Raw genomic sequence first — 15454 nt, 5'->3', positions numbered from 1 at the left:
CTACTGCCAGAAAGACAAACAGACAAACTCCTGTAACCCAGCGTGCTAAGGACCACGTGAAACACAAGGCAACAAAGGCTCACGAAGGACTCAAGTCTGAAGTCTGCAAGGGAGAGGCCCACAGGAGGGGCAAAGAAGCTCTGAGGTAGAGGGGACATTTAAGTTACTCTTGAAATGAACAAGCAAAGGGGTGGGGCATGGCTGGGGGAACTACGTGAGTGAAGACAGGAGGCAGGAAAGCACAAGGCAGGTTTGGGCACAGTCAGTAGTGGGGTGTGTGCTCAGAGATAGAGGATGATGATGAACCCAGACCCCAGATGATGTGAACTTAATCTGCAATTAAAACTAAACAAATGTTTCCCAAATTGAATAGTTAACAGAATGTTAGACAGATGTTCTAGAAGAGTCACTAGCTGCAATATAAGAGGAAGACGGAAAATGGGAGATTCTAGAGGCATGGAGTCCAGTTTGGAGGCTACTATAGTGGTCTAACTGTGGAAAGACAACTAAGGTCTTGGCCTCGGGAAGTGGGGTGGACAGCAAAGGACAGATCAAGGACAAAGCTCATTTGGATTGATGACAAACAAGTTATACTCTTAATACTGAAAAGAAAGAATTGAGACTAATTACAGAGTTTCCTGTTTAAATACTAGATATACAATATTATTGACTGAGATAAATTGAGGAAAAACAGATCTCTGAAGATGTGATAGGTGGGTTCAGTCATACTGCTTTAAGGGGCTATTTGGCTGTCTCACAGAAATACCCTAGGGGATCATGCATGAAGAGGTCAGGGAAAAAGTCGGGGCTCTCAATTATCAAAGCACTCATGACATTGTCAAACACTCTGATCTACAAGATCAGTAGATTTTGAAAAGTTTTAAGAAATATAACTATTCTTTTAAATGAAGAGATAAAACTGAAAATGTTTGGGGTGAAGGTGGAAGGCAGAGCTACTGCACTTGAGAATCCATTGGGATTGCCAATAATTTGGTTAGTGGCTTCTGACCTCATGACTAGAAACAGAGAAACAGTGGCAGCTGGAAGTGCTGTGTATTATATGTAGAGAACACAAGTTAAAGGACGAGTGTATGCTGAGAGGGAATTGTGTCCTTTTTAGTTGTCTTGTTTTGTGATCCAAACATGCATCAGGTTTTGTAAGCTCAGTCCCGGGACAGCATTTTATTACCAGCAGCAGCAAACTGATGGCAATAAATTCAGGCTATCAAGTAGCATGTCACCTTCAGTCATGAAGCAGTATCCTGAAAAGATAAAGCCATCTGTATTTGAGTGTGCTCTTTTCTAAGAACTTTTGTTGTCAAAAGTAAGCTTTCCACTCCTTATATGCATTGGAACTTTATCATCTGTGACACCATCGTACAAGGCCAGACCTTTTAATGTACCCTTTAAAACAAACAGCATGACATTTAAAAGTCTAACTCCTAACAACACATAAAGGAGACTTCTGATTCTGAGGGACTTGGGGATTATCATAATATGTTCATATAGTATGAAAGGTAAGAAATTATCATTTAGAATCTAGGAATATTATAATTTTTAAGTAAAACAGGACCACACATGTCACTGCCTCCAAATCATCTCATTTTAATGTGAGGAAATTAAGATCTAAGAGAAAAGAAGGAATTAGCTGCTAGCTAGCTAGTTAGTTCAAGCTGGACTCCATGCCATTACCCAAATAGGGTCCCCAATTCCAAATAAGCCCTGACACCCAGCTTTCTAATTCCACTTTCACGTTCACAGCCCATCTGAGACTCTACCCCTGCACCACAGCTTTCCTCTCTCCCAGGGAGAAAGAAAGTGTTGGGTCCTTCCTTTGATGCCCTTGGCACCTTCTCTGGCCCTCCCGTATTGAGTTTACTACCATGTTACTGTTATTAGTGCATGCTTCTTATTCTCTTTTCTAGAACACAAGGTCCTCAAGGGCAGAGACAAGTGTAAGCATTTCTGAATTCCTTCTCAACACCCATCACTGGGCCCACAGGGTTTTTAATGAACCAAACTAAGGAAGAAGCTGTGCCACAACCTACTTTTCCTGACCCCCAGTTCTAGGCTCTTCCCATTAAAACATCCTAGAATGCTATCCATTCTAGATTCTGCAAACATCACCTACTTCTGCAGACCAATGTTTTCTAAAATGCTATAAATCAAACCACTTACTAATAGATTCTGTCAGTGTAACATGCAATCTTTCCCATGATGCTGTGAAAATATCTAAGACGGGAAGAACATTGTGTATTGTTAGCATAACATACCTACATTTGAGTATCTCTTTAACTGATAAAGTAAAAAAGCTTCATGATATAAAAAAATTGCTACTGTTAATCACTAACTTCCCCACATAAACTGATTGTACCATAATAATTTTCACTATTTTCTTTGTTATATATTTAAACAAGCTAGGTCCTTCACAGATTTTTTCCCCCTTAAGATTAAATGTAATATAAGTCTAAACTCAGTCCACATACCCATTATATCAAAGAATTCATCTAAAGCACTATGCAATGCTGGGAACTTGTCTCTGTGTTCTTCTAGCAGCCATATTAAACAACGGGCTTCCTTCAATGATGCTGGCTCAGAGAAATAATCAAGTTGCTTTCCTTCTATAGAGTCTAGTTTGTGACCATATTTCTCATTCCAGAGGAAAGTCATGATACTAAAATCAAGCAGTTTAAGAGATGCTCCATAACGAGAAAAGAAAGTTCCTGTGGCATCTAAGCCTGTAATAAAAACAAAACCCAAATCAGAAGAGGAGGGAAATTATTTACTGTAAAATCACATTTAGTTTCACATCTCTGAAAGCAGCTGATTATAGTTTGCTTATATTCTCAGCAAAAACATTTAAATAGTTGAGAACAGATTCGTTCAAGCTATTGGGCATTTTAGAAACACCATTTAACATTGTTAGGCTAATTATAATAATTCTTGTCTATTAGATTTGAATAATGTGGGCCAAAGCCTTCTACTATCATAGTTACCTTTATTAGACCTAGGAGATGAAAGTATAGCATTAAATTCCTTTAAAAATATAACAATGAGGCCAGGTATGGTGGCTTAGGCCCGTAACCCCAGCACTTTGGGAGGACAAGGCTGGAAGATCACTTGAGCCAGGAGTTCAATACCAGCCCTGGCAACATAGCAAGACCCCTATCTTTACAAAAAAAAAAAGAGTTAGCCAGGCATGGTGGTAAATGCCTGTAGTCCCAGCTACTTGGGAGGCTGAGGTGGGGGTACTGCTTGAGCCCAGGACTTCAAAGCTACAGTGAGCTATGACGGCGCCACTGCACTCCAGCCTGGGTGATGGGGCAAGACCCTATCTCTAAAAAAAAAAACAAACCCAAACAATGTTTTCACTAATTCATAAAGACTTTCATTCCAATTAGTATAAACTAGCAAGATTTTATGATTCTTTATATGGATTCCATAGTAATAAAACATCAACAATATGCAGAATCTTCCCAAATGTGTCTAAAAGAGGAAATGGGTAAACCCATTCCCCAACACCTAAAATAACATTCCTTATTCCCCAAAATGTGGGTCCTCACCCCTCTCTACAAAAATCAAGGTGGTCAGTATGCCTACTTTTATTCTCCACTCTCCAAATTAGAAAACAGGTGACTACAATCTCATACAGACTCCTACTGAAATGACGGTGAAGCCCCACTCCTGATGAACAGCCAGCAAAAAGGAGCTCTGTCCAGTTTCTCCATCATGCCTCTAATATAAAACGGTCACTTCTTCCGAGGGCCTTAGTCAACAAATGAAGTCAACAAATGAAGCAGAGATTGCTCAGAGTCAAAATTATCCTAGACTGCTTGCTTCTGGATTAAAGAGTTAGCTTGCAGAGATCATGTTGCAGGAAAATTAGGATCTTTAAACACCAGAATAAGGGACCATGTAGAATACTCACACAATAAAAGATTTATGAGAGCCCAATGAAAAAATAGCACATTCCCGTTCCCTATCCACGTCAGAGCTTGTGGTCAGTGAGGGGAATGCAGGCAGGCAGTGTTCACTATTGGGATGTTAAATTTATCTCACTAGTGCTCTATTATTTCTCTCTCTCCCTCCCTCCTTTCCTCCTTTCCTCCCTTCATCTTTTGCTGAACATAAAAACTGGACCTCTCTTATGGTAAATATGTGCATGATGTAAGTCCACCCAATAGTCGTTTTATTGAAGAAAATTCCAGGAAATGAAAACTGCTTTACTTACTATTTAAGTAAGTGTGCATTTTACTTCAGGACTGTAGTAACAGCCTTACTAATTAACATGCTTGAACTCATTTCACAACTTTAAATAAAAATTGCTACTTTAAATAGTATACATATATCCTTATTAAAATGATACCTTTAATCTACAGAATAAACATGGATTATATCGACCGGGCGCGGTGGCTGACGCCTGTAATCCCAGCACTTTAGGAGGCCGAGGTGGGCAGATCACGAGGTCAGGAGATCAAGACCATCCTGGCTAACACGGTGAAACCCCGTCTCTACTAAAAATACAAAACATTAGCCAGGCGTGGTGGCAGGCACCTGTAGTACCAGCTGCTCGGGAGGCTGAGGCAGGAGAATGGCGTGAACCCGGGAGGCGGAGCTTGCAGTGAGCCGAGATCGCGCCGCTGCACTCCAGCCTGGGCAACAGAGCGACACTCTGTCTCAAAAAAACAAACAAACAAACAAAAAAAACACATGGTTTATATCAAAAGACATGTTCACCCTTTCCTGCCAGTGAGCTGGAGGGCTCAAGTGCTGCATTTACCTGAATGAACAGTGGCTGGCAGTCTTGACCGTGTAGCATAACCCAGGCAAACCTATTTCTCCAGTCCTGAGTATCTCCTAAAGCATGTTAAAGCAAGCATTAACTTTATAATTTGCTTACTTGATACTCACTAGTGACAATCTTGTCACTTAAAAATAACTTTCCGGGATCACAAATCCATGAGGATCTATGTTCAAAGCAGGCATGTTCAGCTGTCTAACTATGCCAGGCTTGCTGCCATCTTACATCGTCTCTTCTGGCAGAAGCTGACCAGTATCTTCTCTGAAACCCTAGAATTCTAATAGCCCCACGTTTCTAAACATTCAGACAGGTGGGGACGGCTGGCAGAGGCTTAGCAGGCCTCACTCTGTGGTCTGCGGCTAAAGGCCCTGCCTTTTTCCCGTGGCGTACTTTAGCCTCTTATCTAATAGCTGCCGACTGAATGAACTATTGTGCTAGGCCAGTTGCTATCCAGTCAGCAAGATAAATAGTGCCCTGGTAGGTGCCCAAAGCATCCCTACCTCGTGTTACACAACAACTGTATCTGCAGCTGCCTTCTGCAGTCCTGCATGGCTTTAGGCAAAGCGCCTGCTTTAGGGGAGGGCAGGGGGCTTGCTCACTCTTCCCTTCTCCCAGCCAAGTTACGAAAGTCAGAACACAGTACAGAGTTATATAATCCTGTGATTTACCACAGCTCAGTCCAACCCTAGGATATGTTCCTCTTAATCTCTAGATACAGATTTGCCTTAGGTGACCCTGAGCAATTAGTCTCATCCACTCTTGCCTCTAAATTTTTCTTCAAAGAATCTGAATTATAGATTTGTCTTCTCAACACAGCTCCTGAGCAGGGGGCAGACTCCAGGATGTGTTATTTACCATGGTTGTGCCTAGTATTCACACATCTACACATTTACAAATAGTTTAGTCTAATATAGGTCTGGATTTCTTTACTGACTGGTCTTTCCTTAGATTGCACCTTTTGAAGAAGTATACTGTAACCTATCTATAAAATAACCTAAAAATTGTGGTGTGCGTGTGTGTGTAATAGTTTTTCTGTTTTTTAAAGGCCTTCATATATTTAGTTCTTTTTTTAAAAAATTCTTTTAGAGACAGGTCTTGCAACATTGCCAGGTTGGTCTCAAATTCCTGAGATTAAGCAATCATCCTGCCTCCGCCTCCCAAGTAGCTGGGACTGGAAAAGTATTCTTAACCATACAAATTTATAGTCCTGCATTTAAAGTTATAAATTATATGGCAGGAAAATGAAAATGACTCAGAGACCTACACTTCCCCTTCGTATTAAAGTTTATTGCTCTGGAATATAAAGGGACATACCAAAGCTATTAAGTTTTTGGATCCAGGCGGCTAATTTGGGCTCCACTTCTTTAAGCTCACTCAAAACATGCAGAAATATTCTTGTCTTTACTCTGTTATTTTCTTGAATCAAGTGGCGAATAACATAGTCCACTGCTTCATTTAGAAAATTTCTGCTAGAAAAACAGGTTGTATAGTCTTCTGTGCTCAAAACTTTCCAAGAAAGCAATTCTTTGAGAAGCATGGCTGTATTCTGTATGCCGGATTTAATCTTGTCAGCATACTGCTTTATACACTGTAGAATTCTGTCATCAAGGAACTGACAACGCTGAACATTGTCTACAGTTTCTAAGGATAAATAACAATGGTTAAAGTGATAAATAGGACTAATTCACAATTACATAAACTTAGAAATAACAAAATTACATAATATAAAATATGATTCAGATTGATTATACTGTTTTACTAAACTCAAGAAACTTTAATTAGAAATATAAACACTTAACAATACTTTTGAAAAGACATGAAAGTGTACGCTAAAATAAACATACCAAAAGTAAGCATTTTACACCCTTCATTCTGAACCATTCATGTAGTAGCATTTGAAACTTAGTTCCTCTAGGCCAGGCGTGGTGGCTCATGCCTGTAATCCCAGCACTTTGGGAGGCCGAGGAGGGTGGATCAGGAGATCGAGACCATCCTGGCTAACACGGTGAAACCCCATCTCTACTAAAAATACAAAAAATTAGCTGGGCATGGTGGCGGGCACCTGTAGTTCCAGCTACTGGGGAGGCTGAGGCAGGAGAATGGCGTGAACCCGGGAGGCGGAGCTTGCAGTGAGCCGAGATCGCGCCACTGCACTCCAGCCTGGGCAACAGAGTGAGACTCCGTCTCAAAAAAAAAAAACAAAAAAAAAAAACAACTTAGTTCCCCTAAAATACGGCCACTTCCTTCAACAATCCTAACCCAGCCTCATCAACTACCTTAACTTTATATACAATAAATATGTTTAGTCATTAAGCACAGAAAGTTAAAATACAATCTCTGAAAGGTTTTTCAGTGGGAATACAATCTCTGAAAGGTTTTTCAGTGTTCTTTACACCAACCCAATTCTGTCTTCGAGTAACAGAAGACAGTGATAGTATTAAATTACTAAGTGAAATCTTTATTTCAATTCAATAATGATGAATATAAGGCCCAAAAGATGCTTACATTTATACATTTAAATGAGAGTATATTATTCTTATCATGCCTTTGGCTTCTGCATACCTTTCTGCTCTTCATTTTTGGGTGGATTACTTTCTCTTAAGTCCTCCTCCATTCTTTCTTGTGCTAACTTTTTTGCTTCTTTTTTTTGGATCTTTCTCTTCAATTTTTTGTCTTCTTTCAGTCTTAGTTTCTCTAGGCTGATAAACATTTACAATTAGTGACAACTCAATGAACTGTTTTCCTTTGACTATCGTAGAAACCATCTTCCAAGCAATATATTAGAAGTTTTCCTTTTTTAATCAGAGCCCGGCCTACATCTTCCATTCAATGTAAGAAACTGTCAGTATTGTCAAAATAAGGGTACTTGTTTCATGAAAACAAAAACCTCAATGATTAGGTGATGTCTAAGGATGCAGTCTACAGATTGTATAGATGTCACTTTCATGTATCTAAGTTACTTCATAGGGTAAACAGAAATAGTACAAATTACTCTGCAAAATAATTCATGTAAACTCTCATTTCTAAGAAAGGTCCCATAGTAAAATATAATTTTCACATCTCAATAATAACCCACAACACTATAATTTGGTTGATCTGGTTACAATGAATTCTCTCCAACAAATAATTCTGTTCATCTTTTCTTTTGCTTTTTCTTGGTCACAAATGATAAAAAAAAATCACTTCTTAGAAAGAAAAACAAGAAGCAGGACCAAAAAGAAAAGAAAAAAGAATCTGAATTATTTGATCTAAACAAAAAGCTATAGAGAAGTAATAATTTAGACAGTACATTGAGTATTTCAGGGTAAAAAATAGTCATAGGTTCAAAATGTTTACTGAAGAGAGATAAAAAGAAAAATATGCTTTTGGAATTAAAGTTTCAACAACTGAGAGCAAACTGTATAGTTTTTATATAAATGCCAAATCTATTAATCAAACATGTAATTTCACAGCATCAAATGTTATAATTTTAATTGTAAATTCAACCACTAGATAAATAATTCTGAATCAAGTTTTTAGTATTTAATCATTCTAGGCTAGTTCTCTTTAAGTTTTAATTTTCCATAAAAATCATTTTAAAAAACACTTATTTGAATATATGTATACACAGCCAATTTTTAAAAAGGCATAATTTAGAAATCTGCATTTAATAGAATTATATTCTAAGAGACATCATCAAACCACTGATTGATTGTTAAAAATCTTACCTAGAACATTTCTGTTTCAGAATAGGTCTTGGAGGAACCTTTTCTTTTATGACCTTGTGTTCAAACTTTAAATAAAACAAAGACATCCAAAATTTGTCTCATACTCCCATGACATAAAACACAAAACCACAAGTAACAAGTATTTCAGAAGCACACATAATGTTCAGTTTGATAGAGAACAGTGATGATGTTCTGACCCAGACAAAAGCCCAGAAAGCTTTAGCAAAATAATTTACTGAAGAGGAACAAGAGGGTAGACACACTTGAGGAAAAAGTTTTTAAAAAATTAAGAGTAAGCAGACGATCTAATAAAGTGTAAATATTATTACAACTACCCACTCTTGCCATTCCCATGTCATGAAGTTAAAGGTAATCCCTCAAGACGCTCTTCCCCCTCCCTAAAAACCTGCACACCCACTACTGCCCAAAAGTTTACCGGGATTAAGAAAATGAAGTTATCAAAAACAGTAAAAATAGTAAAACTAAGATATAAAAAGCCTCCTTTTCCTATTAAGAAATAAAAGAATATAAGAATGCTTTCATTACAATGAAGCATTCTCACATCCCAGTATTTCCTATATTTTCTTAAATGAAGTAATTGTTTCTTTCCTGGAAAAGATCCAAATTACATGATATCTACAAATTCAAATCATGTTTCAAAAGGTGTAAACATTTTGGTTATCTATCTAACAAGGTTTCCCCTTTATTACTTACTTCACATTTAACTTCACCACCACTGCTGAAGATGATAATCTTAGAAATGACACCTTCACAGTCAGGGGTAAGACATATTCCTTGTAGAAAATCCTATTTGATTAAAAAAAAAAAAAACAAGAAAAATGTTATGTCTAGGGGGGATAAATCTATACACGTATACTATTTTTACCACTAGGAACAGTCAAAATACGGACTAAAACCATCTTCAGGCAAGTGGTGAAAATCCTTACTCACTGCCATGCGAATTTTAAGGCTTCCGTGTAGGAAAAATATACTTTCAGGTGTGGGTCTGACCATGTGACTTGTTTTCATCAATGCAAAGTGACCAGACATGACATACACATGTCTAGACAAAAGGTTTAACAAACACTTCATAGACTGGACATTGTTCTTTTTCCTCTGACACAGGAAGATGTTCCAGAAAAGGGTCATTCTTCAACTTAGATTGAGAAACAAGGAATAGAGCCACACAAAATAAAGCTGCTACAGCCCAGTCCCAGCCAACAACTGCAGAACTGCAGGACAAGTCATGTAAGCAAAAAACAAACTTCTCTGATGTATGCCACAAGATATTTGGGTTGCATCACTTCAGCATATCCTAGGGAAAGCTGACTAATTTACAGAGTGTATTTAAAATGATGGGAATAGTTAAGACCACTAAAAGAGGGTATATCACTAGAGAAACTCAATTTAGGTAAGACAAAGACATAGCAGAAGTGACTCAAAGGTGACAGTTATTTACTCATATCATTATATTGTTAATTAATTATGTGAAAATGTACAAAATGTGAGAATTTATTTCTACCATACTTTAATAATTGCTATTGTTAACAGATGCCTAGTACAACTGCCTCATTCTTTCCCCAATAAGAACAGTGGTCTGCATAAGCCTAAGAAGTGTAGGAAAAGGTCCATAGTTTCTATAGATCAGAAACAAATTCTATGAATACAAATAAGATTGTAATACTATGACTTCCCTCAAAGTATGTCTACTTAATGGTAATTAACATCATTATCTTGGTAATAAGAAAATCCCTGGAGAGAAATGGCAGTTTAAAATTGAAGTTGATCTTTCTTCCCAACATTAAAAAAATTGTTTTGAGTTGACTTCTTAGTACAAATTACCTCATCAAATTTTGGTTTTGAAATCCCTAATTCCACATCAAAACTTTCAAGTGGGGCCTGGTGCAGTGGCTCATGCCTATAATCCCAGCACTTTGGGAGGCTGAAGTAGGATCACTTGGGTCAAGGAGTCTGAGGCTGCAGTGAGCTACGACTGCACCACTGCACTCTAGCCTGGGCAACACAGTGAGATCCGTCTCTTTAAAAAAACAAAGCCTCTATGGTTAATGCCTTTATGATTGTCCAAATAAAAACAAATTTGATTTTCCACTTTATTATTAAAGTTATAATTTAAAATTTTCTAATTATGTGCAGAATGTTCAGGAAGGAATTCTTGGGGGAAAAATTGACATACAATAAGTATACTGAAAAATTCAGACAATCCTGTTATGCTTTACCTTGTCAATTTTATCATTAAAGGTTGTAGTTTTTAACTTCTTCCAGCAATTCATGTGAAATTCTATTTTACAGTACTGGCAACAGCTGATGCGTATAAAACCCTAGGGTTACAAAAAATTTTTTAATTAACGTTTTAAAGATGTCTCTGCACACTCACTCACTACAACATACATAAAGACAGAGAGAGCTTGACTAACATATTTATTTCCACAGCATAAAGTTGCATCATTCTTCAAAATATATCAAATATTTTATAAACATTATTTCATCTGATTTACTAACCAGGGACATTGGAACAGCAGGACAAGGGCAGCTACTAGCTTCTTGAATAAACCAGTATAACTCAATTAAGTGCCAGACTTATCTCAAATTTAGGTCTCTAACAGCTAATTCAATGATCACAATGACCTTTAGATTTGGGACTCAAATTTTATGAGAGATCAGAATTGCAACAAATCAGAGGTAACAATCTCACTTTGTTTCCTATCCTCCTAAGGTAGCTTGAAGAGGAAAAAGAATGAGCCAGCCTGCCTTCTCAGGTCACTACCCCAGCCCAGAGCGTTTATACATCAGTGGCTCTGGTTCCCATGTGAGACGATGTAGACCTAAAAAAGTCCAGGAAGGCTGGGCGTGGTGGTTCATACCTGTAATCCCACACTTTGGGAGGCTGAGGGGGTGGATCACGAAGTCAAGAGATCGAGACCATCCTGGCCAATATGGTGAAACCCTGTCTCTACTAAAAATGCAAAAATTAGCTGGGCGTGCTGGGACACGCCTGTAATCCCAGCTACTTGGGAGGCTGAGGCAGGAGAATTGCTTGAACCCAGGAGGCGGAGGTTGCAGTGAGCCAAGATCGTGCCACTGCACTCCAGCCTGGGTGACAGAGTGAGACTTATCTCAAAAAAAAAAAAAAAATCCTGGGAAAGGGGTGGACGACTGCTAACTAGCCAGAGAACTTGGGTGCCTCCAATTACAGATTGTTTTGAGCCCATTTTAAGAAATGATTTTGCAAGTTAATGTCCCACTGTACACTCATTATTTACCTTAAAGTCTGGATCAGTTATGTATATCTGGATCTTAGAATATCCATGGCACTTCTGATAGCAACAAATGGCATCTGGCACTGGAGGGAACTTGCATTCTTCAACAAATTTCTCTAACAGCATCTAAAACAAAATAAACAAAAATGATACCATTACAATACTAATCTGTCAATAAAAATGCTTGTGATTTCAATAACCTCTTGCCATCAAAATATTTTCAGCATAAGAATGACTAAATTTTTTCACCAACAACAAACTACATACAACTTTTAAAGTTTTTCCTTTTAAAAGGAAGGCTGATAAGAGACATAAGAGAGATTTAAAAAGAGGACTGGACAAAATTTTTTTTCAGAATTTCGAAAGAATCAAAATTTTGTCCTGTTACAATCATCAAATCGCATTTTATAATTTACAGCTCTCAGAAATCTTCCATAAGCATTAAGAGGAAGTCAAGTAAGGCAGAATAACCCTTAGGGTAATCCTGAGGACTTTACCAGGCTCCTCTTGCCCAACATCACCTCATCCAGAATCCTAACACTCCCATTATCTTCCTCCTTGCAGCTCTGCCACTGTTGTTTGTGGACTCCCTGGAGAATTATTCCACTGCTAATGAAGCCCCCAAGAGACTCATGCCATGCTTCCAGTGCTGGCTTTTTGTTATCAATAGCTCCTATGCCTCTATCCCAATCTTGTATGAAGAGAGGTAAATCCAAGAATCCCTGTGTTGTATTTTTTATAATAGCTTTGTTGAGACATAATTTACACACTATACAACTCAAATGAAGTGTACGGTTCGGTGTTCTTAGCATATTCACAGGATGTGCTGACATCACCACGGTCTAAATTTAGAACATTTTCAAAAAGAAACTCCATACGCATTAGCAGTCCCTCCTCATTTTCCCCTAACCTTCCAGGCCCAGCAATCACTGGTCTACTTTCTGTCACTATATACAGACTTGCTTATTCTGGAGATTTCATAGGAATGGACTCACACAAGCCCTTTGTGTTTGGCTTCTTTTACTTAGCATAATGTTTCCAAGGTCCATCCATGCTGCAGCATGTTATCAGTACTCTTTTTTTTTTTTGAGACAGCGTCTCACTCTGTCACTCAGGCTGGAGTGCAGTGGCACGATCTCAGCTCACTGCAACCTCTGCCTCCTGGGCTCAACTGACCCTTCCACCTCAGCCTCCTGAGTAGCTGGGACTACAGGCATGTGCCACTATGTTTGGCTAATTTTTGTATTGATGGGTTTCGCCATGTTGCCCAGGCTGGTCTTGAACTCCTGAGCTCAAGCAATCCTCCTGCCTTGGCCTCCCAAAGTGGTAGGATTACAGGCGTAAGCCACCAAGACTGGCCATTTGTTTTTGAGGCAGACTCTCACTCTGTTGCCCAGGCTGCACTGCAGTGGCACAATCAAGGCTCACTGCAGCCTCAACCTCCCAGGTTCCAATACTTACGTACCCATTTATCAGCTCACGAATACTTGGGCTATTTCCCATTTTGGGCTATTATGACTAATGCTGCTATGAACATTCATGTACAAGTTTTTGTGAGAACATGTTTTCCTTTCTCTGTACACACCTAGGAGTGAAACTGCTGGATCATATGGTATGCTACAGTTTGAATGTTTGACCCTCCAAACCACACATTGAAATCTGATCCCCGGTGTTGGAGGTGAGGCACAGTGGGAGGTGTTTTGAGTCATGGCGACGAATCTCTCATGAACAGATTAATTCCCTCCCTGGGGTGAGTGAGTTCTCACTCCATTAGTTCCCTAAAGAGTTGGTTGTTAAAAAGAGCCTGGCACTTCCCTGTCTCTCACTATATGATCTCTACAGACAGGCTCTCCTACGCCTTCTGACATGAGTAGGAGCTATTGAAGGCCTTCACCAGCAGGTGCTGACACCATGCTTCTTATACAGCCTGCAAAACCATAAGCCAACTTTTCTTCATAAATCACCAGTCTCAGGTACTTCTTTATAGCAACACAAATGGACTGAGACATGGTAACTCTATGTTTAACTGTTTGAGGAACTGCCAGACTATTTTCCAAAGCAGCTGCATCATTATACATTACCACCAGCAGTGTCTGAATGTTCCCATTTTTCTACACCCTTGCCAATATTTATTGTCTGCCCACATCCTAATGAGTGTGAAGTGGTATCTCACTGTGGTTTTGATTTGTGTTTCTCTGATAGCTAATGATGCTGAATGTCTTTTCATGTGCTAATTTTGGCCATTTGTATATCTTCGTTGCAGAAATGTCTATTCAGATCCTTTGACTACTTCTTAGATTATTTGTCTTTTTATTATTGAGTTGTAAAAGTTGACTTCTGTGATTTTAAAAGCTTCAGCCAAAATCAAGTTCTGAGTACATGTGAGAGTTCACTACAAGTAAAAGCCTATCTCAGTCATTTCACACGTAAGTCTTTCTAGAACAAGCAAAGCATCTTTATGCTTCTGGATATGAGACTAAATTCATATTTTTCTAAATCTTCAAGTACCATCTCAGTAACTGTGGTAACTTTATGATGAAACAACAATACTATACCTTCCTCTAAGTACAACCAAGTCCAGCAGAGTGCATGATCATGCATACTCAGAAGTCAGAATGCCTGGACTCAAGTTCCAGGACCACAATTTGCTTGCTGTTTCACCTTGAGTGCATCATTTCACCTCTCTAAACTTAACCTTCCTCATCTGTAAAATGGGAATGATCACAGTGCCCCCCTGCACGGGGCTGCTATAAGGATTAAGCATAATGATAAATGAAGGTACACACTGGCACACAGAAAACATTCAATAAATGTCAGAGATTCTCATTAGACAGTAGAGGGGAAATGCGTGTAAGGGAGGTGGGGATGGAATGCTCCTACCTCTCCGCCTCCTGATACCTGAGTCAGTCAATGCAGATAAGCATTCACAGTAAGAAACACTCTGCAAAAATAAATGGTTACCTTTATTTTTTGTGGCTGAGACTCTTCAATAATCACATTACTCGTGGGCCAAGTTAACACTCCAGGAAGACGATAAATCAAGGTTCTTGCTTTCTCAAAGTGATTGAGAGCTTCTAGAAATCTAAAGTCATAATTATGAAAAAGGCATTAAAGATGTAAAATGGTATTTTCACTCCCTTCAAAAGTCACCAAAGATCTCAAGCTTACTGGGACGAATACATTTGATGAATCACTGAACAGCAATATTCAATGTAACCTAAATTTTCTTTAAAAAAACAAAGTCACTATTGCTGTTTGCTATAAAAGTAATATACATTAAACACAACTCGTCTTGGACACTGGCTTTATTGTGGCAGGTGTACACTTTTTTGTTGTTTGTTGTTTATATATATATATTTTTTTTATTATACTTTAAGTTCTAGGGTACATGTGCACAACGTGCAGGTTTGTTACATAGGTATACATGTGCCATGTTGCTGTGCTGCACCCATTAACTGGTCCTTTACCTTAGGTATATCTCCTAATGCTATCCCTCTCCCCTCCCCCCACCTCACAACAGGCCCCAGTGTGTGATGTTCCCCTTCCTGTGTCCATGTGTTCTCATTGTTCAATTCCCACCTACGAGTGAGAACATGCGGTGTTTGGTTTTTTGTCCCTGCAACAGTTTGCTGAGAATGATGGTTTCCAGCTTCATCCATGTCCCTACA

General features: G+C 38.7%; 1 protein-coding gene across 10 annotated transcripts in view, besides 1 other annotated feature; it reads right to left on the bottom strand.

Moving 5' to 3' along the window:
* The window catches only part of TTC3 (tetratricopeptide repeat domain 3), a 129865-nt gene that overhangs the window by 43726 nt on the left and 70685 nt on the right, over positions 1-15454 (bottom strand). For 6 of the 10 annotated variants that reach the window (NM_001353936.2, NM_001330683.2, NM_001330682.2 and 3 more), the window contains 8 exons: positions 14748-14868; positions 11790-11912; positions 10746-10847; positions 9223-9315; positions 8509-8573; positions 7364-7500; positions 6116-6442; positions 2487-2738 (listed from right to left, as the gene is read on the bottom strand). In NM_001353936.2, coding sequence (NP_001340865.1) covers positions 2487-2738; positions 6116-6442; positions 7364-7500; positions 8509-8573; positions 9223-9315; positions 10746-10847; positions 11790-11912; positions 14748-14868 — 1220 coding nt within the window. Of the gene's footprint in view, positions 1-2178; positions 2233-2486; positions 2739-6115; positions 6443-7363; positions 7501-8508; positions 8574-9222; positions 9316-10745; positions 10848-11789; positions 11913-14747; positions 14869-15454 lie in introns of all 10 variants that reach the window. The other 4 variants (NM_001320703.2, NM_001320704.2, NM_001353938.2 and 1 more) reach the window with 2 other exon arrangements.
* Positions 11555-12055: an enhancer, noted in NCBI's record as "H3K4me1 hESC enhancer chr21:38519638-38520138 (GRCh37/hg19 assembly coordinates)". NCBI's record gives its function as "activates a minimal SCP1, AML or CMV promoter by ChIP-STARR-seq in primed H9 embryonic stem cells {active_cell/tissue: H9 hESC(primed)}" and the evidence as "EXISTENCE:reporter gene assay evidence [ECO:0000049][PMID:30033119]".

The sequence above is a fragment of the Homo sapiens genome, chromosome 21 (assembly GCF_000001405.40).
Source record: "Homo sapiens chromosome 21, GRCh38.p14 Primary Assembly".
Lineage (NCBI taxonomy): Eukaryota > Metazoa > Chordata > Mammalia > Primates > Hominidae > Homo > Homo sapiens.
The sequence above is the reverse complement of the archived record's forward strand: the minus strand, read 5'-3'. Positions and strand labels throughout refer to the sequence as shown.